Source organism: Homo sapiens, chromosome 5 (genome assembly GCF_000001405.40).
Source record: "Homo sapiens chromosome 5, GRCh38.p14 Primary Assembly".
In the NCBI taxonomy this organism is placed as follows: domain Eukaryota; kingdom Metazoa; phylum Chordata; class Mammalia; order Primates; family Hominidae; genus Homo; species Homo sapiens.
In genome coordinates, this window is record NC_000005.10 from 19,559,539 (window position 1) to 19,587,077 (window position 27,539).

General features: G+C 35.4%; 1 protein-coding gene across 20 annotated transcripts in view; it reads right to left on the reverse strand.

The window, feature by feature from the left end:
* CDH18 (cadherin 18) overlaps positions 1–27,539 on the reverse strand; it is a 1,104,418-nt gene that overhangs the window by 88,243 nt on the left and 988,636 nt on the right. For all 20 annotated transcript variants that reach the window (XM_005248228.5, NM_001349562.2, NM_001349556.2 and 17 more), the window contains one exon: positions 12,041–12,294. In XM_005248228.5, the coding sequence (XP_005248285.1) occupies positions 12,041–12,294 (254 nt within the window). The remainder of the gene's footprint in view (positions 1–12,040; positions 12,295–27,539) is intronic.

Below are 27,539 nucleotides of genomic sequence, written 5' to 3' on the forward strand. Positions count from 1 at the left end.
GCCATCTATGACAAACCCACAGCCAACAGGGTAAAGTTAAAAGCATTCCCCCTGAGAATTGGAACAAGTCAAGGATGTTTACTCTTAACACTTCTCTTCAAGTAGCAGAAGTCCTAGCCAGAGCAGTCAAACGAGAGAAAGAAATAAAGGACATCCAATTGATAATGATGAAGTCAGATTGTTGCTGTTTGGTGATGACATGATCCTATACCTAGAAAATCCTAAAGACTCATGCAAAAAGCTCCTAGAACTGGTAAATGAATTAAGAAAAGTTTCAGGATACAAAAATAATGTGCACAAATCAGTAGCTCTGCTATACACTAATAGTGACCAAGCTGAAAATCAAATCAGGAACTCAACCCCTTTATAATAGTTGCAAAAACAAACAAAAAAAAAACTCAGGAATATATTTAACCAAGAAGAAGAAAAACCTCTACAAGGAAAACTACAAAACACTGCTGAAATACATCATAGACAACATAAACAAATGGAAACATATCCCATGCTCATAGATGGAGTCAATCAATATTGTAAAAATGGCCATACTGCCAAAAGCAATCTACAAATTCAATGCAGTTCTTAACAAAATACCACCATCATTCTTCACAAAACTAGAAAAAAAATCCTAAAATTCATATGGAACCAAAAGAGAGCCTGCATAGCCAAAGCAAGACTAAGCAAAAAGAACAAATTCTGGAGGCATCACATTACCTGACTTCAAATTATATTATAAGGCCATAGTCACCAAAACAGCATGGTACTGGTATAAAAAATAGGCACATAGACCAAAGGAACAAAATAGATAACCCAGAAATAAAGCCAAATACAGCCAACTGATCTTTGACAAAGCAAACAGAAATGTAAAGTGGGAAAAAGATACCCAGTTCAACAAATTGTACTGGGATAACTGGCAAGCCACAGGTAGAAGAATGAAACTGGATCCTCATTTCTCACCCTTATACAAAACTCACCTCAAGATGGATCAAAGACTTAAATCTAAAACCTGAAACCATAAAATTTCTAGAAGATAACATTGGAAAAGTCCTTCTAGAAAATGGCTTAGACAAAGACTTCATGACCAAGAATCAAAAAGCAAACACAACAAAAACAAAGATAAATAGATGGAACTTAATTAAAGTAAAAAGGTTCTGCACAGTAAAAGAAATAATCAGTAGAGTAAACAGACAACCCACTGAGTGGGGGAAAATCTTCACAATCTATACATCTGATAAAGGACTAATATCCAGAATCTACAAGGAACTTAAACAAATCAGCAAGAAAAAAAAATCCCATCAAAAAGTGGGCTAAGGACAGTAATAGATAATTCTCAAAAGAAGATATTCCAAATGGCCAATAAACAGATGAAAAAAATTCAACATCACGAATTATCAGGGAACTGCAAATCAAAATCACAATGTGATACCACCTCACTTCTACAAGAATGGCCATAATCAAAAAATCAATAAATAATAGATGTTGGCATGGATGTGGTGAAAAGGGAGCACTTTTACATTGTTGGTGGGAGTGCAAACTAGTACAACCACTACGGAAAACAGTGTGGAGATTCCTTACAGAACTAAAAGTACATCTATCATTTGAAACAGCAATCCCACTCCTGGGTATCTACCCATAGGAAAAGAAGGCATTATACAAAAAAGATACCTGCGAAGGTATGTTTATAGCAGCACAATTCATAATTGCAAAAATAGGGAACCAGCCCAAATGCCCATCCGTCAATGTAGGGATAAAGAAAATGTGGTATACATAAACCATGGAATACTAGTCAGCCACAAAAATGAATGAAATAATGGCATTTGCAACAGCATGGATGGAATTGGAAACCATTATTCTAAGTTCAATAACTCGGGAATGGAAAACCAAACATTGTATTTTCTCACTCATAAGTGGGAGCTAAGCTATGAGGATGCAAAGGCACAAGAATGATACAATGGACTTTGGGGACTTGGGGGAAAGGGTGTGAGGGTGAGGAATAAACACTACACATTGGGTTCAGTGTATACTGATCAGGTGATGGGTGCACCAAAATATTAAAAATCACCACTAAATAACATATTCATGTAACCAAACATCACTTGTTCCCCAAAAACCTATTGAATTTTTTTTAAATAGGCCAAAACAGAAAACAAGTAGTTGTATGACTAAATGTGTTATAATTATGTTTGGCCTAGGGGAAAAAATCATTTTATATCAGATAATATCTTTAGCTATGTGCTTTTGGACCATTCAGCCTTCAAAGTCTAAAGATATGTTCATCTATGAAAGAATAGAGTTGTCTTAGTCATCTTTATGTCCCCCTGAGTTCTCAAGTATCATGTGTTTATGACATTGAACAATAAACCATTAATCAATCTCAGTGTTCTAATATCAGCAATATATAATGTGATACAATTTCAAAATACAGGTTGTAGACAAAGACTTTTGATTTTAAGCAAGAATTTGCTTTCTGTCTGTCTCTACTGGATTTGCATTAAATGTCCATAATGGACTGTTTCCTTTGGATCAGAACACAATGGCTGAGTGTTTTTGATGATACACTGAGGATTGCCATGAAGAGAACACTGAAATAATTTTATGTTATCAATAAGGAAAACTTTTACAACTAAATTTGGTCTATGAAAAAGGTTCTTGTATATTAGATACCTTTAACATGAACACAGTTTAAAACATATTTACTGGTTATTTTTCATCTTTGTTTTCAAAAGTTTAAATCCTGCATTCAAACTCTTAATAATTTCTTTTCACTTTCCCTCTTGAACTTTGCCAAAAGGCCTTATCATTATTTTAAAATCTCTCTCTTTTTTTTGCTGTTATAACATCCAAAATAATTTGGTATTTCTAATCCAACTCATCATCAATTATGTGAAAATTTCAAAAGTAGAGAAGAAAGCAAACAAAAAACAAAAAGAAGTGAATGCTTCCAGTGTATTCACTGTACCATTATTTACCAATAAATTCACCTCACCAAGGTCACAATAAATCTCTGGATAGGCTGAGAAAATACTTTTAATACTTTGCATCCATTTCTTTAAAATTATCCCTTATGTTGCAAAAATATTTTAAAATCTGGCTAAGTTTCCAATATGTTCACAATACATTTGGGCTATAGTTTATTTTATAGGTAGTGCCATCATAAGCATTTGAAACAATTATGCGAAATATTTAATCATTTATTTCCTTAAAGTTATCATTCAAAGAAAACATTCAAATTCTCAACAAGAAGTAAATGCATAGATAAATTCAGGTTATAAATCAAGATGCAAAAGAAGGAAAGATGGGGCATATACTCATTCACATAATTCAGCTGCTAAAGCTTTTCATCATATAAGAAATGTTGATTCAGGGACTCCAACTTTTTTTATACTAAATCAAGTAATGTACATCTTTAACTACAATACGGAGAAACTATAAAATTAAGAGCAAGTTTATTACTAAGATGCTAAAGTTAAAAAAAGACTTGCCAGTTAGCATCCCCTTTTCTAATGTGTGGAGTAAACCCATAAAAGGGAAGGCCCCAGGTAATGGCATTTGCTTAATGGCTCTCTGAGCATTTATAATATACATTTGTTTCTAATTTTTGATACTTGACTTTTGTAAATGTAGTCATTTTGTTTGTTTGTTTTTATTTTTTATTAGTTATAGTATAATAGGGAGCATATTGGGCTACAAAAAGAAAGTTTTCAGAGTAAAGCAAAATTGGATTTGCATTAAAATGTCATGTTATCACTGAAAACAGAATCAAGTTAGTTAATTTTTTGAACTTTAGTTTCTTCATCTATAGAATGGAATCAATAATACAGACAGTTTCAGTGTTGTGAAACAGTTTATGGAATGATATATAAGGTCCATGGCCAACAGACAGAAGACAATGAATGGTAACAATTTAACAGTCATGTGTCATAAAGCTACATTCCCAAAAGCTCTCTAGCTTCTTGTTTTCAACATGGGATTGCTCATCTCTCAGTAGCTAATCTGTGAAATTCCTGAATTCTATTTGTAATTTGTGAGCAAATGGTGTAGCCTGTTTAAATGAAAGGCTTCACTGCTGGTAAACAGCCAGGCTCTAATTTTATTTTTTCAAAAAGGTGATGATTGGAGAAGAAGGTGGAGCAAGATAGCAGTATAGAACCCTACAAAGATTGTCAACCCTGCAGGAACACTGAATTGAAGAACTTTCCATGAAACACCTTCATAAGGACTAAAAATCAGGTGACTGATCACAGTACTTGGTATTAACACTATATTAATGAATGGGGCACTGAAGAGCACAGGAAAGACAGCCTTGAATGGCTTACACAACCCCTCCCTCATACCCTGGTAGTGGCAGCAGAGCACAAAGAGAGAATCTGTGCACTTTGGGGAGGGAGAACACAATGATTATGAGACTTTGCATTGGAAGTCACTACTTCCTTGTTATGGCAGAAAGCAAAAAGTGACAGAACACATCCTGCAACCTATGGAGTAAGCCTTTAGACCAGCACAGGCTAGAGAGAAATAACTCAACCCAGTGGTCAAAACCTGAGTTCTGGCTAGCCCCACCACTGTGGGCTAAAGCACTCCAGGGTCCTTAATGAACTTGAAAGGCAGTCTGGGCCAGAAGGACTGTAATTCCTGAGTAAGCCTTGGTGATGTGCTGGGCTTGGAGCCAGTGGATCTGGAGTGCAGGTGACATAGTGAGAAGCCAGCTGGCGTGGTCAAGGGAGTGCTTCTGCCACTCCTCCCCCAACCGCAGGCAGTGCAGCTTGCAGCTCTGGGAGAGATCCCTTCCTTCCACTTGAGTAGAAGTGAGGAAGGAGTAAAAAGGACTTCATCTTGCAACTTGGATACAAGTTCAGCCACAGTAGAATAGGGCAGCAGACAGAATCCTGAGGCCCTAGCTCTCAGACAACATTTTTAGATACACCTGGGCCAGAAGGGAACCTGCTGCCTTGAAGGGAAGAACCCAGTCCTGGTGGAATTCATGACCTCCTTACTAAAGATCCCTTGGACCTTGAGTAAGCATCAACTGTAGCCAGACATTACTCATCGTGGGCTTTTGATGAGAATGAGACTCAGGTGTAACCCAGGGTATTAACAGATATGGTGGCTATGGGGAGAGACTCTTCCTGCTCAAGGACGGGAAAGGGAAGTATAAAGGGGAGTTTGTCTTGCAGCTTGGATACCAGCTTGACCACAGAGGGGTGGAGCATCAAGCAGGCTCCTGGGGTCCCTGATTCCAGGCGTTGGCTCAGAGGAGAGAAGTTCTAAACCTGCCCTGGGCTAGAGTGGAGCTAACTGCCCTGAAGGAAGAGACTCAGTCCAGGCAGTGTTCAGCACAAGCTGACAGAAGAGCCCATGGGCCTTGAGTGAAGATGGGTGGTATCCAGGCAGTACATACCACATGGGGAGAAACTCCTGCTTGAGAAAAGAAGAGGGAAGAGCGGGAAGAACTTTGTCTTGTGGCTGGGGTGTCAGCTCAGCCACAGTAGAATAGAGCACCAAGTAGATTCCTAAGGTTCTCGAATCCAGGCTGTGGCTCCTGGACAGCATTTCTAGACCTGCCCTGGGCTGTGGAACATGAGAGGCAACATCGAGGGGAAGGACACAATCCTGGCTGGATTCACTCCTTGCTAACTGAAGAGCCCTGGGCCTTAAGGGAATATCAGTAGTAGCCAGGCATTAGTAATCAATGGTCTTGGGTGAGATCCAGTGATATGTTCATTTCAGTTATGACCCAGTGCAGTCTTGGTATTGGTGGCTACAGTGATGCTTATGTCACTCCTCTGCTGAGCTCCAGGCAGATCAACATGGACAGAGAAACTCCATTTGTTTAGGGGAATGTAAGGGAAGAGAACAAGAGTCTTTGCCTAGTAATCCAGGGAATTATCTTAGATTTTACCCAAGACCACTACAGCAGTACCTCCACAAGTCTTCAGAGTCACAGCATTACTGGGCTTGGGGTACCCCCTAATGCAGATATAGCTGCAATGACCAAAGACTTAGATAATAACACCCAATTAATCCCCTTTGAGTACTTGGAAGAGTCCCCAAGAATGACAGGCACAAATAAGCCCAGTCTGCAATAACTACAATAAATGACTCTTCAGTGGTGCTGGGAAAACTGCATATCCATATACACATAATTGAAACCAGACCCCCATCTCTAGCTATATGCAAAAATCAATTCAAAATGTATTAAAACTTAAGTCTATGAACTCACACTGTGAAACTGAAGAGAGTACGTTGGGAAAACTCTGCTGGACATTCATCTGAACAAAGATTTCTTGAGTAATATGCTGCAAGCACAGTCAACCAAATAAAAAATAGATAAATGGGATCACATCGAGTTAAAAAGCTTCTGCACATCAAAGAAAACAATCAACAATGGAAAGCGACAACCCACAAAATGAAAGAAAATATTTTCAGATTATCCATATGACCAGGGATTAATAACCGGAATATAATTGAAGCTCAAACAAATCTATAGAAAAAAAAAATCTAATAATCTGAATAAAAAATGGGCAAAATATCTGAATAGACATTTCTCAAAAGATGACATACAAATAGCAAACAGACATATAAAAAGGTGCTTAACATCACTGATCATCATAGAAATGCCTATCAAAACTACAATGAGAAATCATCTCACCCCAGTTAAAATGGCTTATATCAAAATTACAGGCAATAACAAATGATGGCAAAGGATGTGGAGAAAAGGGAACCCCCATATCCTGTTGGTGGGAACGTAAATTAGTACAACCACTATGGAGAACAGTTTGACAGTTTCTTAAAAGCTAAACATAGAGCTCCCTATGATGCAGCAATCCTGCTGCTATGTTTATATGAAAAAGAAAATGTATTAGTCCGTTTTTATGCTGCTGATAAAGACATACTTGAAACTGGGTAATTTATAAAGAAAAAGAGGTTTAATGGATTCACACGTGGCTGGGGAGGCCTCACAATCATGGTGGAAGGCAAAAGGCACGTCTTGCGTGGGGGCAGACAAGAAAGAATGAGAGCCAAGTGAAAGGTGAAACCCCTTATAAAACCATCATATCTTGTGAGACTTATTCACTACCACGAGAACACTATGGAGGAAACCGCCCCCACGATTCAATTATCTCCCACCAGGTCCCTATCACAACACGTGGGAATTATGGGAGATACAATTCAAGATGAGACTTGGGTGAGGACACAGCCAAACCATATCAGAAAGGAAACCAGTACACTGAAGAGATATCTGCACTCCATATTCACTGCAGCACTAATCACAACAGCCAAGATTTGAAAGCAACCTAAGTGTCCATCAATAGATGAATGGATAAAGAAAATGTGGTACATATGCACAATACAGTAATTCAGCCATAAAATAGAATAAGATTCTATCATTTGCAACATAGATAGAACTGCAGGACATTATGTTAAGTGAAATAAGCCAGGCACAGAAAGACAAACTTCACATGTTGTTACTCATATGTAGGAGCTAAAATTAGAACAATTGAACCCAAGGAGATAGGGGGTAGAATAATGGTTGTCAGAGGCTAGGAAGGGTAGTGGTGGTGGGGCAGGTAATTGGGGATGATTACTGGGTAAAAAATGTAGTTAGAAGGAACAACAGCTAGTATTTGATAGCCTGACATGGTGACTACACTAGATAATAATTTATTTTACATTTTATATATACTTTATATTGCTGCAAATTACACATCTTGTTTAGAGTTGAAACAGACAAAACCTAGACATTATATTCTCTATGAAATCTGAAGAGTCTTACTAATAATTTATAAAAGGACAATGGTAAAATACAAAGACTGAAGTACAAAAGTACAATAGTAAAATACAAAAGACCGAAGTCAGGAAGCTTTTCACAAATGCTTGCAAAGCTCAAACTCCCTTTCATTACCAATTCTACAAACTTGGAGTTGATTGCATTTCAGGGCACATTGCAAAGTACATCTTTTCAATGTGCTTTTCCTTAATTAGTACAAACATTTGGTCCCTGAGAAAGGTGGAAGTATAGGCTTGCTTTTGTTTTTGTTAATGTTTTCTGTTTTTTTATTCACTATTTGCACCCAGAGGCCCATGTGAATGACACATTTTTATTAAAATCAAGAATAAATATTATGTAAATTATGTCCCCAAACAGCAGCTATGGAGTCTAATTATTTTAAGGCAGCTTTAGCAGGATTCATTTTAGTTCTCTAACCAAAACAAAGCAGAAAGAATATTTCATATGCTAATAGATTTCTGCTTCCCTTCTTAGCATTTGGAAACTATGTACCAATCATCTTTGCATCCCAACAACCAGGAGAGTGCATGTTTCATATGAGTGTTCATTTAAGTGCTCTCAGTGATATAGGACAATTACTGAGACAATTAGTGACATATTTTAATTGATTGAAAGTACACATTGAAACATTCACATGACTATTCATGTATATGATTTGTATATATAGACACCTATCTCTGAAATATCTTTTCAAAATTTCTTCCCATGAATACAATTAGTACTCCAGTTCTACCAATTTGCCAGTCAGTTTGTTTTAGTCTATGTCAGGTTTTCTCAACATTAGCACTATTGACTTGGGGCCAGATAATTTCTGTGGGAGTTGTCCTGTGAGTTTCAGAATGTTTAGCACCATCCATGACTTCCACCCCTAGATGCCAGTAACACCCTACCTGCTACAAGCTGAATGCTTTTATCCCCCTCCCCCAAATTCGTATAGTAAACAGTAATCCACGATGTAATGGCATGTGGAGGTACAAACTTCTGGAGGTGATTATGAGGTCATGAAAATGGAACTGTCATGAATGGATTAGTGCCTTTACAAGAGGAGCTTGGAGCTAGCTACCTTTTTCCAAGATGTGAGAATACGAGACGTTGGTAGTCTGCAATCCAGAAGAGAGCACTTAGCACAACCCGACAATTCTGGCAACCTAATCTCAGACTCTCAGACTCAAGAACTGTGATAAATAAATTGCAGTTTTTTATAAGCCACCAAGACTATGATAATTCTTCTTAGCAGCCAAACTGACTAAAGGAGAAAATTGGTGGGACATTCATTGTGTGATGTGTGCTCTCGTAAAAAGAAATGGAAGAGTTTGCTTTCTTTCTTTCTGCTCTTCACTATGTGAAAATATAGGGAGAAGAGGGCTCTCTGCAAACCAGGAATCAGACACACACCAGATACCAGATAGGCTGGCCCTTTGATCTTGGACTTCCCAGCCTCTAGAACTGTGAGAAATAAATGTTTTTTGTTTATACCACACAGTCGAAGGTAATTTGTTATAGCAGCGTAAAGTGACTAAGACACTATCCCAAGATGTAATAACTAGATATCTCTCCAGACATTTTCAACTGTCCCTTGCAGGGGGGTGGATTTTGCCCCCATGTGAGAATCACAGTCCTATGTGGGAAGGGGTGTTTTCATATATGTTGGAACATATAGAATAATGCTAAAACATCTTTGTCCTTGACCTCAATTTCTCCCCCTTGGCCTACCTTTCACTTGATTTTAAATATTGTTTATTTTGAAATGCAAATTTTCCTATCATTGTTTTGGTTATAATTATCAAAGTTCCTCTCATTTCTCTCCCTATTGGCATTGCTGCCAGGATTAATTTCAAAGACCTTACCATTGCAGAAAGCCTCTTCATGATCTGTATCTAATCTATCTCTCCAATCTCATTACTTGCTATTCCCACAGGTAACCCAAGCTCCTCATGTACAGCAAACTACAATTCTTTCCTTCATTCTTCATTTCTCTAATTTCTAATTGGTTTATGAGCCTCAATTCAATTTTCTTCAGCTCATTGCCTCCAGAAAGTTTTGGAATACATTCTCCATGCACACCTCCCTCAGACCATTATTACACTAAACACAGTGTGATGGTTAATTGTACATGTCAACTTGGCTGGGCCACAGGGCCCAGGTATTTCATTCTCTTTCTGTGGAGAATTATGCATGATACACAATGCATATTTTTTCCAAGTCTATTTCTTCCCTGGAGTTCAAGATGCTGTGTGTATGTGTGTCTATGTGTGTGTGCACATGTATAATTCTTTATCATGAGGACTACTATAATATCGCACGTTACAAGTGATTAAAACATAGTCTAAGAGTGATTGCTATAGTCACCCTACTGATCTATCAAACACTAGGTTCTATTTCTTCCACCTAAATGTACATATTGGTACCCACTGGATTGTACATTTTAAAACAGCTAGAAGATAATGATTTGAATGTTCTCAGTGTAAAGAAACGATACATATTTAAGGTGATGAATTTCACAACTACCCTGATTTGATCATATGAATATGTCAAATTATCACGTGTATCCCACCAAATGTACAACTTTTTTGTATTAATAAAAAATAAATTAAACTAATGGTTGCACTTCCTGTTTTTTTAAATAATTACAGAAATTATCATTAGTATCACCTTTAAAAAAATATTGTCAATGTTTATTTAATATTTTCACAGCAAACTTATATCATGACCTATCTCTATTCCCAAAAGATATTGGGTGCTTTTGGTAAAGAAAGCCTCATTTGTACAGATCTTTTATGGTGCTACATTTTTTTTTAAACCTGAACAAATCATACTTACTGTTTGGGGTCAAAAGTATAATTAAAAACATGGCATTCTATGGAATGTTGAAGCAAAACGGGCTTTCCTTTGGTTAAGCAATGAAACATGTTAACTTTGATTTCTATTCCTTAGTTAGAGACTGATTTCTGTAACTTGGTTTATGCATATTATTTTGCATAGTTTACCGATCCTCCTTCTTCAAGCATTATCTAGCTCTTGCTGTTAGTGTGACAGGATACAGTTTCTATACTTGCAGATGGAGTAGGATTGTTGAATATCTACATTTGTGCACAGAAAATTGCTTCACTACATGCATGGGTGCTAGGGGAATTATTTTTAACTGAAACAGTCATGCTTATGAAAAAGAAAATTCAGAGCTTTTACAAATATCCCACAGATACTGAGGAGACTATTTAGTATATTAGCTTTTGTTAAGTGAATGAAAACCAAGGATTTCATGGTAAAAATTAGAAAGATTATTAAGGATTTTAACCTTTCTAGAGACAGGATTTCCATGAGTATAAATACAGGATATCCAAGAAGTTTTACACATGTATGCAGCCTTTCTGATTTTGTTATAAATGAGGGACACAAAAAAACTCCTTTGATAATGCAAAAAAGCTTTGATTATCTCTCCAGCATGATGTACTAAACTAATACAAGTATTATTTAGCGAGCACTTATTATATGCTGGGCAATGTGTTAAGTCCTTTAATCTAACTAAATCCTATCAACATATTTATGTAGCATTATTATTCTTTGTTCACATATTTGGAATTTGAGATTCCACATGACTGAATGACTGTAAAAGATCACTCTGCTAGTAAGCAGACACAATAGAGTTCCCACGCTGATTTTCCTGTATTCAGAGTTTTTTGCACCCTATACTGTCTTTCACAAGTTAGCATTTATTGAGTGACTACTAGGTGCAGGCCACTTTGCTGAGTGCTTTACGCACATTGCTTCATGCATCCTCACGATAGCTCTGAGACACAGACATTATTTTTCCACTTTTACATATAAAGAGAAAGCCACACAGCTAGGCTGACCAAAGGAACCAGAGTCAGTTAGAGATGAGTGTTATCCCCAAATCATCACGCTTTGTACTATATCTATACTTCCTATCATTAAGGGAGCAATAGATTCTCTAGTTTGTGATTAAATAGCTCTACAACAATTTTCTCAATCAATTACGCTCACATCCATTAAGTCAAATGAAAAAATTAACATGTGGTCAATAAGACATTCATGGAGATAGCAAAATATGTTCTTAATGTGACAAAAATCCAACTGCTAAGCTACACAGTTAAAATCAATTAATATTATAATTTAATTATATTCGTAGAAAACAACGTAGAAATAAAACATTTTAAGTGTAATTTTATTCAAGTTTAATTAATGTGAGAGGCAATAAAAATCTTTCTATGTCTAAACGATTGAAGCATGCCATACCTTACTAAGCTGTTAGTACTGTCAGGATCTTGTGCCAAAACTGTACCAACGACGGTCCCAATCTTGGCATTTTCGTAGACTTCCATGAGGTAGGAAGGCATGGAAAATAGTGGTGGTTCATCTACATCCCCAACAATGATCTTCAGCATAGTAGCATCTTTAAAAGGACCCAAGTGAGAAAAGCGAAAATCAAGATGTGTATTTGCTCCTTCTATGTTGAGGGTATATGACTTCTTTTTCTCATAGTTCAGTGGCTGTGGGGAAAAAAAATAAGATTATGACTTTTATAAAAAAAGTCATATTATGACTTTCATTACTTTTCAAATATGCATTATTTTTTCCTTTTTAGAATAAAATAATTGAGAGAGAGATAAGTCATTCTAGCTTTGTTCTAAAACGAACTATGAAGATTATTTTAATAATAACATCTAAGGCATAAATGGAACCTCAGCATTTTGTATTTAGTGCAATAATATGTATTTGGTGTTATGGACATCAATAGGAGGAATACAAACTCCGATTCAGGAATGTGTGAGGACTGCTAGGTAATGTTTTCAAGAGGAAGTGCTTTTTCAGATAAGAACTAAACATTTGGAAAGTGTTTAGCATGATTGATATAAAAGGCTGTGTGAAACTAAGATGAACGGATGTAGTTTTAAAAGTTAAAAGCTCCCATGGTGAGGTGAGTGAAGGTGATTCGGAGACCAGTCTTCCATTTTAAACTGGATGAAGTATCCACTGATGCTGGTCTTCCTGTTAAAGATCTGTGAGAAACAGCAGAATAGAGAATTTTCATTTCTATTTATGCCACTGATTTTGTACAAGCCTGCTTCAATCTCAAAGTGTCTTTTTTTGGCAGGAACAGAATGGTCATTCCCTGCAGAGAAATTGAGGCATTGTCCTTTACATTAAGGGTCAATATCATAGTCAATTCAGGTTGCTATAACAGAATACCATACACTGGGTGGCTTAAGCCAACATCAACGTTCCTTTCAGAGCTGGTGTCTGGTAGGCATCCTCTTTCTGGTTTACAGACGGCCTCTTACTTGCTGTATCCTCACACAACAGAGAAACCATCTCTCCCTTGTCTCTTCTTATAAAGACACAAATCCCATTCATGAAGGTTTCGCTCTAATTACCTAATTATGTACCAAAGACCTCACCTCCAAATACCATCATATCACACTGGGGATTAGATTTCAACATATGAATTTTGAGGGAAGAAACATCCCTTCAGTTCATAGCAACCAAGCAAAAGCTAACTAGAAAGAGGATCCTTATCAGGATCCTGTAAACAGAATGATCAGTACTATAATACTTATAATAAGTTCCCCAATTTTTCTGAATTGCCTTGGAAAATTGGCCTTCCCAGGGGTTGGAGATTACACAAAAGGCAAAATATCATTTCATTTCCAAACCATATATTAAGAACCTAGAAAACTAGGGTCACAGGGACATTGATGAGGATAAGCCACTACAATATTTTACCAGTTTCCAAAAAAATATGTATCTTTATATCTTAAAAAATTCAAATTATCAGAAGTTGATCATATATACAATACACATGCATTTATATATGACACAAACATTATGAATTTCAGATTATATATTTTTCAAGGAGTTGCTTCTGAAGTTTATGACCTATCACACTAGAAATAAATTGCCAAAATAACTAATACCTATCTTGTTTGAGGAGTTGCATACTCTTTTTTTTTTTTGAGACGGAGTCTCTCTCTGTCACCCAGGCTGGAGTGCAGTGGTGAGATCTCGGCTCACTGCAAGCTCCGTCTCCCGGGTTCAAGCCATTCTCCTGCCTCAGCCTCCCGAGTAGCTGGAACTACAGGCGCCTGCCGCCACGCCCGGCTAATTTTTTGTATTTTTAGTAGAGACGCGGTTTCACCGTGTTAGCCAGGATGGTCTCGATCTCCTGACCTCGTGATCCACCCACCTAGGCCTCCCAAAGTGCTGGGATTGCAGGCGTAAGCCACCATGCCCGGCCGAGGAGTTGCATACTCTTAATTGGATCCACACATTAAACTTTTTCTTTCCTTGAATCCTTCCTCCTTTACATTAACAAGTGAGAATTTGCCTATGACTAATTTATCAATAAGCCCCATCAAAATTTAAATAACTCGTCCTAGAAATGGTACATACTTGCTGCCTATCAGCAACTGGGTGGACAAAAATGGTCCCTCTTGGCTTATAAGAGCTGGACAGTCAGAATCGTGCATCCTGCTCATGGAAATACGAATACCTGGAAAGTTTACTGTTAGTTTTAGATCAATGTCTATAATTTTTGGAGTTAACTTGCTGCATGTGGAAGGCTTGATGATGTCTAAGGTTCTTCTCACTGAATATGGGTATTTAAGACCTTAGAACTAAAAATCAGAGTTACATACTTTTCTAGGAATGCTTAACATTTCTTTCTCACAATAACACTGGATTTTAAAACAATCACCTCCACTTATTTATTATTTTTGGCTTTCACATCTTTTGGACTTTTCAATGAAATTTGTGGAGGGATTTGGGCCACCTCCCGTCCTATCTGATATTATTATCAAGCTCTGCATCCAAGATGACACACATCTCTTGTTCCATTTCTTAGCAGGTCCCCTGGCAAGTTAGATGCCATTTGCCTCAATACTAACCTACCTACTGCTACGGTGCAGGCTGTTTCTGTGGACATATGGTTTCAGGTTGACGATCATCTAATATATATTTTACTACTCCAGGGTGGGGGTAAACATTTTGAGGGACTTCTTTGCCAGAACTGACGGATGGATGGAAACCATGTGGAGCCATGAAAAAAATGAGTAGATTATTTTAGGTTGGGACAGGAATTTAGAAGCAGTTGAATTAACGCAACTGGAAATATTTTAACAACCTCATTTGTGAAGAAAAGCTGGTGAGGCTGAATTGCCGGTACAGGGAAACTGTGAGAAAATTATACTCATTTATTTATGCCTGGATATTTTAGAGTTATATATATAATAGAAATTATTGTATTATTTGGTTTTACCCAAAAAAAATGGTATTTATAGTATTAGTATTATAGTGATTATTTTTCTATTACTGTAACTCTGGGAAAACTACTCAAGTACCCATCTTCCACACCTTTTAAATAGTTGAGTAAACTATTAAAGTTGTCTTCCACGCTTTCTTAGTTAAAAAAAAAAATCCCAGGTGAGGCACGGTGCCTCATGCTTGTAATCCCAGCACTTTGGGAGGCCGAGGTGGGCGGATCACGAGGTCAGGAGGTCGACCATCGTGGCTAACACGGTGACACCCTGTCTTTACTAAAAATACAAAAATTAGCCGGGTGTGGTTGTGCACGCCTGTAGTCCCAGCTACTCGGGAGGCTGAGGCAGGAGAATCGCTTGAACCCAGGAGGTGGAGGTTGCAGTGAGCCGAGATCATGCCACCGCACTCCAGCCTGGGTGACAGAGTCAGACAAAAAACAAAACAAAACAAAACAAAAAACAAACCATATCACTGATGCTCATACTTAATGAGTGCTATTTTCAGTGTTGCCAAATTCAATCATTTAAACTACTGGATGCCCAGTTACATTTAAATTTAGGATAAACTGTAGGGTTTTTAGTATATTAATTGTCATTTATCACAAGAAACATAGTTGTAGAAAAATTTATTGGTTATTTAAAATTAGAATGTAATTAGATGTCCTGTACTTTATTTGACAATGCTAATTAGCATGCATTCATATTCCAACATTCACCATGGTGATGATGGTGGTTGGTATCAAACTCACTTGGTAGGGAAGAGAGAAACTACCAGCAAGTATAACATGGGTATGTATTCACAACTCCTGTCCTTTTTCAAAAGTTAGTTTAACTCATATGAAATTGCTGATATCAAAAATGTATGATGACATATACAAAAGATCATTTCATATGGTTCAGTCTAGCATAATTATTTGTCTATCCCTCAACTATCTGAGCATTCCTGGAATCATCCCATTTGCAATGTGTTTTGTTTTACTGGAATGGTGCTTAGAATTGTCCTGTGGGTGCTGAGAAATGAAGCTGCTTAATGTTGCTTAATATTTGTATTGGCTTATTATTTTCTGTTAATCCTACTATATTCGTTTCCTAGGGATGACATAACAAATTGCCACAAACAGGTTGGGTTGTAACAACAGAAATTACCTTGAAGTTCTGAAGTCACTAAGTCAGAAATGTGGCAGAACCACACCCTCTCTGGGAACTCTAGACAATCCATTCCTCACTTTTTTCAGTTTTTGTGGCTGCCCTAGCCTGCCCCAGAAGAAAGATACCCCTACATGATTGGACACTCAATTTATATTGTAATTCAACCACTTGCAGGATGAAACTCTAGGTTTAATGTCCAGAAATCATAATTTTGCAGTTATAGGTGATGAAGATTTCTTCCAGGGGAAACATAGAAGACTTTGGGTACTTTATGCAAAGTACCCGTAGGGGCAGTGGCAAGCAGAGCTACAGACTCAGAGAGGAAAGTATTGAGCCTTACAAGAATCAGCTCAAAATGGATTAAAGACAATGTAAGACCTAAAACGATAAATCTACTAGAAGAAGAAATTGAGGGGAAACCTTCATGACATTGTTCTAGGCTGAGATTACTTGTCTATAACTAAAAAAAATAGGCAAAGTAAGCAAAAATAGACAAGTGGGAATGATCAAACTAAAGAGCTTCTTCATAGCAAAGAAATCAAGTAATAGAATGAAGAGATAATACATGATTTGAAGAAAATATTTGAAAATTGTACATCGGATAAGGGCCAATATCCAAAATAATGAAGGAACTCAAACTACTCAAAAAAAAAATACAAATCACTCTATTCAAAAAATGGGCAAATCACTTAATAGATATTTCTCAAAAAATGACATACAACTGAGCAACATATATATGAAAAATTCCTCAATATCTCTAAATATCAGAAAAGTGCCAAATTAAAACCACAGTGAAATATCATCTCATGCCTTTTACAGTGGCTATCATCAAAAACATGAACGATAACAAGTATTGGCAAGGATGTGGAGAAAAGGAAACACAGGACTGTGGTTTTGTAAATTAGTACAGCCATTTTGGAAAAAAGTATGAAGGTTCCTCAAAAAACTGAAAGTAGAATTCCCATAGGATCCAGCAATCCCCTGACTGGGTATATAGCCAAAGGAACTGACATCAGTATCCCAAAGACATGGCTGCACCCTTATATTAATTGCAGCATTACTCACATTAGACAAGATATGGAAAAAAACAAAGTATTCATCCACGAATAAAAGGATTTTAAAAAATTGTGGTGTAGATACACAGTGGAATACTATTTAGTCTGTTACTTAAAAAAAGATTCTGTCATTTGTAACAACATGTGTGAACGTAGAGAACATTATGTTTAGTGAAATAAGCCAGGCACAGACAGACAAATACCATATGATCTTAGTTACATATGGAATCTAAAGTCAAACTCATTTAAGTAGAAAGTAGAATGGTTGTTACCAGAGGCTGGGAATAGAGAGGTGAGTAGGAAAAGGGGAGACATTGGTTAATGGGTACAATGTTACAGTTAGGTAGGAGGAATCAGTTCTGGTGTTCCATATACAGCACAGTGACTACACTTAATAATAATGCATTGTACCATTCAAAATATCTAAAAGAGAGAATTTTAAATGTTCTCACCACATGTAAATGATAAATATTTGAAGTAACAGACATGTACCAATCACATTGTACATCATAAATATATATAATTATTTTCTGTCAATTAAATATTAAATAAAACTTAGGAAAAAAGAAACCTAATGGAATTTTCCATGCTGGGTTTTAAACATATTTGGAACTTGTGACTTTTTTATTTCTTCCATTTTCCCCCTGTTGGAATGTCAGTGTTTATAACTGTTATCTTATGCCTCTCCTACCATTGTATTTTAGATAAGGATAATTTGTTTTCTAATTTCACAGGTCCACAGATGAAGATTTTCATGCTAGGATTCAAACTATCTAGAGTTTCACCCACACCTGATTAAGATAATGAGATTTAGATTGAGATGATGAGTTTAGAAATGTTGACCTGATGATAAACAGATAAGATTTTGGACTTAGAATTGATTTTGTAATAGATTGATATTTTAGGGATGTTGGGATGGGGTAAACACTACTGTACACATGGGAAGGACATGGCTTTCGTGGAGACAGGCTATAGAGGCCTGACGGCAACCCTGCAACAAATATGAATATGGCAAATCATGCAATTAACTTATGTAGTAAACTATAAGAAGAGGTGATAATCCTCGATTATTTAGGTAGGTGTTAAATTTAATGACAAGGGTCCTTATAAGAGTGGCCAAGGGAGATTTGGCAGAGAAAATGTGATGCGGTCATATGACCACAGAGGCAGAGAGAGGAGTGATGTAGCCATGAGCTGAGGAACAACTGGAGCCTTCAGAAGCTGGAATTGGTGAGGAATGGACAGGTCCTTAGAGTTTACCAAGGAAAGAGGAAGTGCAGTCCCACCAACTCCTGATTCCAGACTTCTGGCCTCCAGGACTGTGAGACAGCACACTGGTTTCTCGAGTTCCTCAGTTTATGGTCATTTGTAAGAGCATTCCTAGGAAACGAATGTAAATTTGTCTGCTTTATGTAGAAACATAGTAGAAATTTTCTTTCTTTTCAGTGTGTTGAAAGCTTTAAATAGTATTGCAGTTATGTGCTCTTCCAGGTTTGACAGAATTCCTTAGTGAATTATTGGGTCTGATATATTTAGGGAAAATTCACAAGCTTCTCATTTTCTTATTCAGAAATCAGTTTATGTGTGTTTTCTGTTTCTTTGAAGTTGCTTTTAGCAACCTTCCCTCGAAATCCTTCATATTAAATTTATTTGTGTAGAGTTAAGAAAATATTGTTATAATGTTTTCAAGCTGCTTATTTTCTATGTCTTTCATGTATCTTAATAAGATTAGTTTAGGTTTTTTTTTTAAACTTTCCTTCCAAAAAATCAGGTTTGAATATATATTTTTGTTTACTATTCTTTATTCCTTTTCTTATTTTATTCTCCATTATTAGTTACATATTTAATTCATCTAATATTATTCTTTTTAGTCGATGTCTTTGATATGTTTAGAATTACAAGTATACTTTCAGAAGCACTTAATTTGTATCCCATAATTTCCATATATGTTCTTTCTCATTATAGTTTTTTTCCTAGAAATTCTGCAATTTGTTTGCCTTTTTTTTTCTGTGATTTGAGAATTCCTGAAGAAGAAGGTTGTGGTTGTTGCAGTTAATACATTTTCAGTTTAAGGTCATTATTTGTTTTCTGATGTTTTTCACTAACTTTTAGTTGTATTTGGAAAGGAGCATTTTATTTGTACTATTTTAACTTTGAGTCCTTTAATGAGATAGTCTTGAAGACTAATACGTAATATTTAGTCAGTTTTACTAAATATTCTATAGGCGCTTGAATTAAATGATATAGCCCCAGAATGCAGAGAATGATTTATTAAATCTATCAACCTCCTTATTAATTACATTATTTGATTATTCATATTTTAAAATACTTTATCTATCACAGACTGAAATTTGTGAGCTATAACCCTCTACAATTCTGTTTATAGACATATTTCTTTGTATATATTGTGATTTCTTCTTTGTGAATGTTGGTCAATAACATGCAACAGAGATACATACTCACAGTGAATGGCTCACTTTAGGATTGTAAAGTGTTTTTCTGTTCCTTCTTTTTATGATTTCAGTTTGGATCCCATCACTGTGGGTGCTGAAATCATATCTCTTACTTTCCTTTTTATGTATGTGGATTTTTATTATGATCTTATTTTTTTTTGTTTTAGATACATCTGGTTTCCTTGAGTGAAGTTCTATTTTTGTTTATTTTTTTTCTAGTGACCACCTCCATTCTTATAAGTTTAGATAATATTGTGTTATCACCATACAATAAACAGCAATTAAAATAAAATAGACTGTTTCCATCTTCTCCCATTTCACTTAAATATTTGTAACTTTTAATTTTTGTTTACTTTTGTACTCTTAGTAATGCTTATAGATCTAATATTTGACTTATTAGCTCGGACTTATATTTTTTCATTCTTAGTTATTACTAATAAATTTTTTTTAAACTTACAATCCTATGTTCTTAGGAAAAGAGGTATTGTTTCTACAGTTTTTAAGGCACATGTTTACATTCTGATAAACTACTCTGATCCTGATGTTAATCACAGTCAGTGTTCCTGCCTGTCATTACCCATTAGTACCCACAAGTATTTCTTGGTAAGATACATTACTTCCCAATAAAATATCCTTCAATCCACCCCCCCCAAAGAAATATAATTATTTATTGTTTCTAAATACAGAATTTTACATTGATCCCAATTAAAGGTGCTAACTAATATTTAGGTAGATTATTCCAACTGGTCAGAAGTTTTTTTAGTTTCATTTTATTTTTAATGACACAATAATTATACATATTTACGGGGTATGGGATAAAATGTAAACTATTGACATATGCATACAACGTGTAATAATCAAACTAAGGTAATTAGCATATTGTAATGTTCAAAGTTTTTTGGTTATAATTTCCATACTTGAAGGACAATATGGGTGGATATAAATCCTTTGGCTGAATTTATTTTCTTGAGTATCCAAAGTCCACACATGTTTAAAAATAATTTCCCATGCAAATATTTCACTGACCCCTTCCCATCTTTGAAAAGTTGGTTCTTTTTAATTTCTAAACTCATAACAATTAAGGCAAACCTATATCATTAACAGTTGGTATGGGCTGACATCTTGTATTATAACAATATATCATGTCTACCCAGTTTTCCCTAAGAGAAAAAATATTATCTAATTCATTTCATAGTCATGTATCTAAAATAATTCCTAGCACATGGAATTTGATTAATAGCTCTTTCTCCATCTCAAATACAGCTGTTTTCAGAGTACAGAAAGGTGCTATTACATGGTTTAGATTTGATGGATAAAAAATTTAATATTATTTTTGAAATATAATACTTAACACCGACCTATGCCCTAAACAATTAACATATATTAATTTATTTAACCTTCACAACACCTGTGTGAGATATAATTGTTCCCATCTACAAATGAGGAAACTAAGGCATAGGACAGTTAAGAAACTCCTTATGGACAACAGTCTGTAAGTGATGTACTTGGGATTTAAACTCAGGCAGAGGAAGTGTATAAGCTGTGTCCTTAAGCACTATGTTATCCTGGTGGAAATCTAAATAGCAAATAAGTAGTGTAATATAATATTTCATTTTGATGATAAAGATAAACAATTTTTTTAGTGGAATATAATAAATTCACCATTAAAAGATACCTTCATCATCATCTTTTCAAGTATTTATTATTAAGTTAAAAATGAGCTGATACATTCACTAAGCTTAACTACTAGAACTCTGAGTACTTTTGTAATTTCTTTAATTCTCAGATGCATAAGCTAAGAAACTAAAATGCTATTGATAAAATTGTTTATCTTCTCAGCCCTTGCTAGAAGTGTTTATTCTGGCATAATTTTTTACTTCCCCAGGCAATTGGGCTTCTCTTACTTTTCTTTAGCTACTGCTCTATATCCTAATTTAACAGCTTACTGTCAATGAGTTGACACTGATTTTCATTTTAAATTTTAGTTTCTTAATTTCATCCTATAACTCCTAATTACTTTTACATATCATTGCTCTTTCTAACTTGTAAAGTAGTACTTTCTCCTCTAATATTAATCCATTTCATATTACTATAGTTAGTTATCATTTTCCCATCAATCGTTTCCCAGCCAGATTTACATATTCAGGACTTTTTAATTGTTTCTCATTAATCACTTCTATTATTCCTTAAATCACCCTATTATATTCTTCTCTGGAACTATATAACCATTATAAATACAAGGATATTGAAAATGCTGTTTAGCCAAGTTGCCGTATGAGTCAATTATTCTTAGAGTTTAGAGAGGTTCTAAAATTCTATTCTCCTAACTAATAAGAGAAGAGACTCTTCATGACCTCTTCTTTGTCTGATTCCTATGCTTCACCAGCATCCAGATTTTAGTTCCAAGATTGGGTAGATAGGGTCGATATCAACATTTTCATACATAAAATTGTCATCTTAATCATTAAATAAAATGGCCTAGACCAGGAATAGTGACTGACATCATTATTAATTTTTTGTTTTCTGGAAAAGTATTTAACTTATATTATGGTATTTTGTCAAAACACAGGAAAATTGTATGAATTTAAGCAGCGTTTCTCCAGCTAGGCTTTTGTATTATAATATGCTTTGTGGCCCTTGTCAGAGGTCTGGCCTGGATGATGGACAGTCTGTGGAAACCGGAGTATATGCATAAGCTTTCTCATCATATATTTCTCTATACAGAAGAAAGTAATTCTTATTCATTGTGTATAATTCTAAGGACACTGATACAAATAAATATTACATGTTTGCTTTCTGTCATTTGAACACTGGACAAATAAGTGCAAAGATCTTTCATTTCAAATAGCTTAAGTATACATTATATTATACAGAAAGTATGCTTATTATTATTTATATATAATTATACACAAGCTCATATGTGTGTATATGTATATCTATGTGTTTTGTGCATATGTGTGCACGTGTATGTGTATATATGACATAAATAAAATAATTAAAAATACCCAATACATACACAAACTTACCAACAGCCCATGCATATATATAGCTTAATTCATCAAGATGTTTCGTCAGATCATTAGTTTCCAAATACTGCATAAACTGTATTTTAGGAATATATGTGTCAAAACAATCAATTAGCTTTCAATGAAGTTTCAAACGATTTATTACTCCAGGCTCATCATTATGCCTATAGATGAACAGCATGAAAAATAATTTACCCAATAGCGTTTCCGTGTCAAAGTCATCCAAAATATAGTAATAGATATTACTGAATTGAAACTTGGAATTCCTCTATCAGCTGTGGCTGAAAAGAATAACTTTTCAGACTTTAGAACCTTATAAGAATATAAAACAGAAACTTAGTTGAGTTTTTTTTGATAATGAAATTCCTAAGGAATGTTCATATTTTGTAAGCAGTCCATTAGAATTAGAAATCTACTGTTTCTTATTTATAGTTTGTGATCATGTGTTTGCCTGTGTGTGATTATTCACAATGGGTTGGGATGACTTATTTATTACTCTTTGTGGTTCAAAGTCTAAAAATGTTAAAATCTGTTAGTAAACAACATTCGATCCTTATTGTGTTACTAAATGCAAGTCAAAGGAATGACAATGTAATCCTCAATAAACACAATCCACTAAAAGACCAGAAATATAGTATGTAGAATAAATCTAGTATGGTTGTAGCGGAACATATTTCATGTTTTTATCTTATAATTTACTTAAACTTTAAAAAACAAATTTATAACTTTCAGTGTTTACTCTTAAGACCCATCTCAAATCATGTGTTAAATAAAAGGGTTTGATAATATTTTACCCATGGTGGGGTATGGAAATCTTAAAAATACACAGTACTTGGTTATGAAAGTGTTTTATGTCTCCTATAGGCAGGGATACACTTGTAGTACACATAGATACACACTCAGGAAAATTATCAGTACATTCACAGTAAATTAATTTTTGAAAAGTCTTATCCTATCAGAAGCTACAACTTTAAGAGGAAAATAAAACTGATAGGTTTTCCACATTCAGAAGTTATAGAAATGCATATTTTGATAAGTGAAACCAAAAAGATAATCCAAAAGATATTTATGACTGAAATGTACCTGAACATGTTGTACTACAAATACGATATTTAACGTAAACTTAAAAAAAGTCTTCTCTTGAAGAAGCAGGAAGAGGAAGTTGATTGCCAAGAAACATGAAGACAGTATATACATTGTGTTGTAATATACACACGGTATTTCATTCTTAGTTTGCTTCCAGTTAAATCAAATAACGTGAAATAAAGATGGCAGCAAAATCAAAATCATCACATGGATTGGTCTGGAGGTATAATTAAAAACTGGTGCAAAAATAGGAAGAAAAGAAGGCAAGGAAAAAGAAGTATTGAGGTAGTATTAGATAGTAGTTATTATTGAGGTAGTAGTAATTATTAGACAGACATAGCTTAGAGCACAATTTTCACCTCGTTTCATGTTTTCCATAATCACCCTGTAAAGTGCTTAAACAAGAAAACTGACACTTCAAAGAGTTGAGATAATGTCATAGATCTCCTAAATGACAAGATCAAGATTTATATTTCATTTTACAGTAAGGTTATATCTTCAAGCATCCTTTGTTGACTCGAAGGACAAGTTTAAAATTTTTTGGCTTAAGTTAATTTGCATTGTATTTACAGTTGAATTAGTTAGAAGGGAATGACAACACAACAGTATTTGCTGAAAATCAGAAGGCCAAATAGAATCAGAAACCTAAAGAAAACATAATATTTGGATCCACTTCTGTAAAGTGTGCAAATAGGAGCCATATAAGAAGAGACTTTGAGAAAGGCTGCTAAGGAGAAGCACATCTCTAGCTACAAGAGGTTTATGTCAGAGGAAAGAGAGTACATCCAATTGCATTCATCCTTATCTTTTTTCCCCTTTCCACCCAGCCAGGCTTCATTAAACAATGAATGAAAGTTATCAAAGTGTATTTACAATGTACCACACCATGCACCAGTGAATTCAACTTGGCAATTTTCTGATGAAGGAATGATACAGACAGGAACGTTGCAGACAGTCCTGCTGGCGGATTTATAGAGCAGTGCTGATTTCTATCTGTGAGGAGATTAGCTGTTCTGCCCAGCTGGCTAAAGTGAACTGCCTTAGAGATTAAATAAGGAATAGGTTTTTAAGAACTGTTTTATCTTTTTTCTGCCATCTCAATGAGTATCTCTTGAAGGTTAAAATCCACTCAGGTATACAGGTTTTTGAAATTGCAATTATTTATGCCCTAAAGCATACAGCAATTAAATAACTCTGAGATTGATAATCCTAATCAGAAGTATCAAAAAATTACGTGAATGCAACATGTACATACCTCAGAGGAAATCTAGACTACATTAAAAAATATGTTCAAGGGAGGCCAGATGCAGTGGCTCACACCTGTAATCCCAGCAGTTTGGGAGGCGGAAGCTGGCAGATCGTTTGGGCTCAGGAGTTAGAGACCAGCCAGGGCAACATGGTGAGGCCCCGTTTCTACTAAAAATACAAAAAAAAAAAAAAAAAAAGAAAAAAAGAAAAAGAAAAAGAAAAAAGAAAAAATAGCCAGGCTTGGTGGTGCTCACCTGTGGTCCCAGCTACCAGGGAGACTGAAGTGGAAAAATCACTTGGGCACTAGGGACCGAGGCGGCAGTGAGTCAAGATCGCACCACTGCACTCCAGCCTGGGTGACAGAGCAAGACTCTATCTCCAAAAAAAAAAAATTCAAGGAAAAAAGTGAAAGACAATTTGAACTTATTAAATGTCAAGAATATTTTTAGTACATCATCACTTACCATTTACAGAATTGAAACGATTCTGATCTTGAAAATATGCATTGTGTGTATATGCACCAAATAGAATGAACCATTAATATTAAATTAATTAAATATGTGCACACACATTAACATATATAATTTTACCTTTGTTTTTCAGACCTCTAATTAATTGTAGCCATGTAAGGTGGTGAGATATGTGCACCGTCCTTAATTCTACAACTGATAGTCATACTTCAGATTACGTGTGTAATCAAACCATCCACTGCCACTTTCACTTTTTGTCAATATGAAGTTGTTTTCCATTTTATAAAAACAATAGGACTTAATACACAGGAACGCCACCACTGCACCCATACACATCCTCACTACATCATTGCAAACTTACCCGCAGTCATTTGCTTCTATCTTCTGTCCTATGGTAACCTCAGAGATGGAGGCATACTATCTTAGGTTGTTTCCTTGCACTTGTGATTCAGGATTCTTTTGAGGTTCATCTCCACCCATAATGAATCTTTTTAAATTACTTATCCTCTCTTCAGTATCCCTAGACTACATCAGTATCCTTGATGTCTTGTCTGTATTGAGCTTTTTGTCCCTGTGCATAGAAACACTCTTGTCTCCCAACTTAAAATTAAAACATTTATTTCATTGTGTTCTTGGTTTATTTGCTTTATAATCTTTCTCCACCACGTAGGTACTAACCTTCTCCAAGAAGACAGTGTTTTTCTATTTTTTTCCTCCCATATTTTTGCTTCCCATTCTCTCTCCACCTCATCACAATTAGTTTCTCTCTCCATTGTAGCAAAGAATAATCACATATCTTCCATCTGAATATATAACATGAGTAAGTGTTCAGACTCTGATGACAGACACCCCAATTCAGTTTTCTGTCAACTTTCTGCTTGGGCACTATTTTTATCGCGTTGTGATTCAGTTTCTTTAGCTATAAAGCGGGGATAATAACACTCTCTTTCCCAAAATGTCACAGTAAGAATTAAAAGGACAATTATGGGTATATTAATTCAATAAAGACATTGCAATGTGCTTAAAATCTGTCTTGATACAGAGGAAATACTCTAACAAATATTAGTTGCTGCTACTATTTTTTTCTTCTTAAAGGCATTTTATTTTATTTTTTTATTTTCAACTTTTATTTTAAGTTCAGTGGCACATGTGCAGGATATGCAGGTTTGTTACATAGGTAAACATGTGCCATGGTGGTCTGCCGCACAGATTAACCCATCACCTAGGTATTAAGCCCAGCATCCCTTAGCTATACTTCCTGACCCTCTCCCTTCTCCCACCCCCTACTCCTATAGGCCCGTGTGTGTTGTTAACCCTATGTGTCCATGTATTCTCATCATTTAGCTCCCACTTATAAGTCAGAGCACGTCGTATTTGGTTTTCTGTTCCCGCATTAGTTTGCCTAAATAATGGCCTTCAACTCTGTCTATGTCCCTACAAAGGACACGAATGTAGTTCCTTTTTATTGCTGCATAGTATTGCGTGGTGTATATGCACCACATTATCTTTACCTAGTCTATCATTGATGAACATTTAGGTTGATTCCATGTCTTTACTATTGTGAATAGTCCTGCAATAAACATAGACATGCATGTGTCTTTATAACAGAATGAATGATATTCCTTTGGGTATATACCCAGTAATGGGATTGCTGGATCAAATGGTAGTTCTGCCTCTAGGTCTTTGAGGAATTGCCACACTGTCTTCCAGAACGGTTGAACTAATTTACACTTCTACCAGCAGTGTAAAAGTGTTCCTTTTTCTCCACAACCTCGTTAGCATCTGTTGTATTTGACTTTTTAATAAAAGCCATTCTGACTGGTGTGAGATGGTATCACATTGTGGTTTAGATTTGCATTTCTCTAATGATCAGTGATGTTGAGCTTTTTTTCATATGTTTGTTGACTGCATAAATGTCTTCTTTTGGGAAGTGTCTGTCTGTTCATGTCCTTTGCCCACTTTTTAATGAGGTTTTTTTTTTCTTGCAAATAC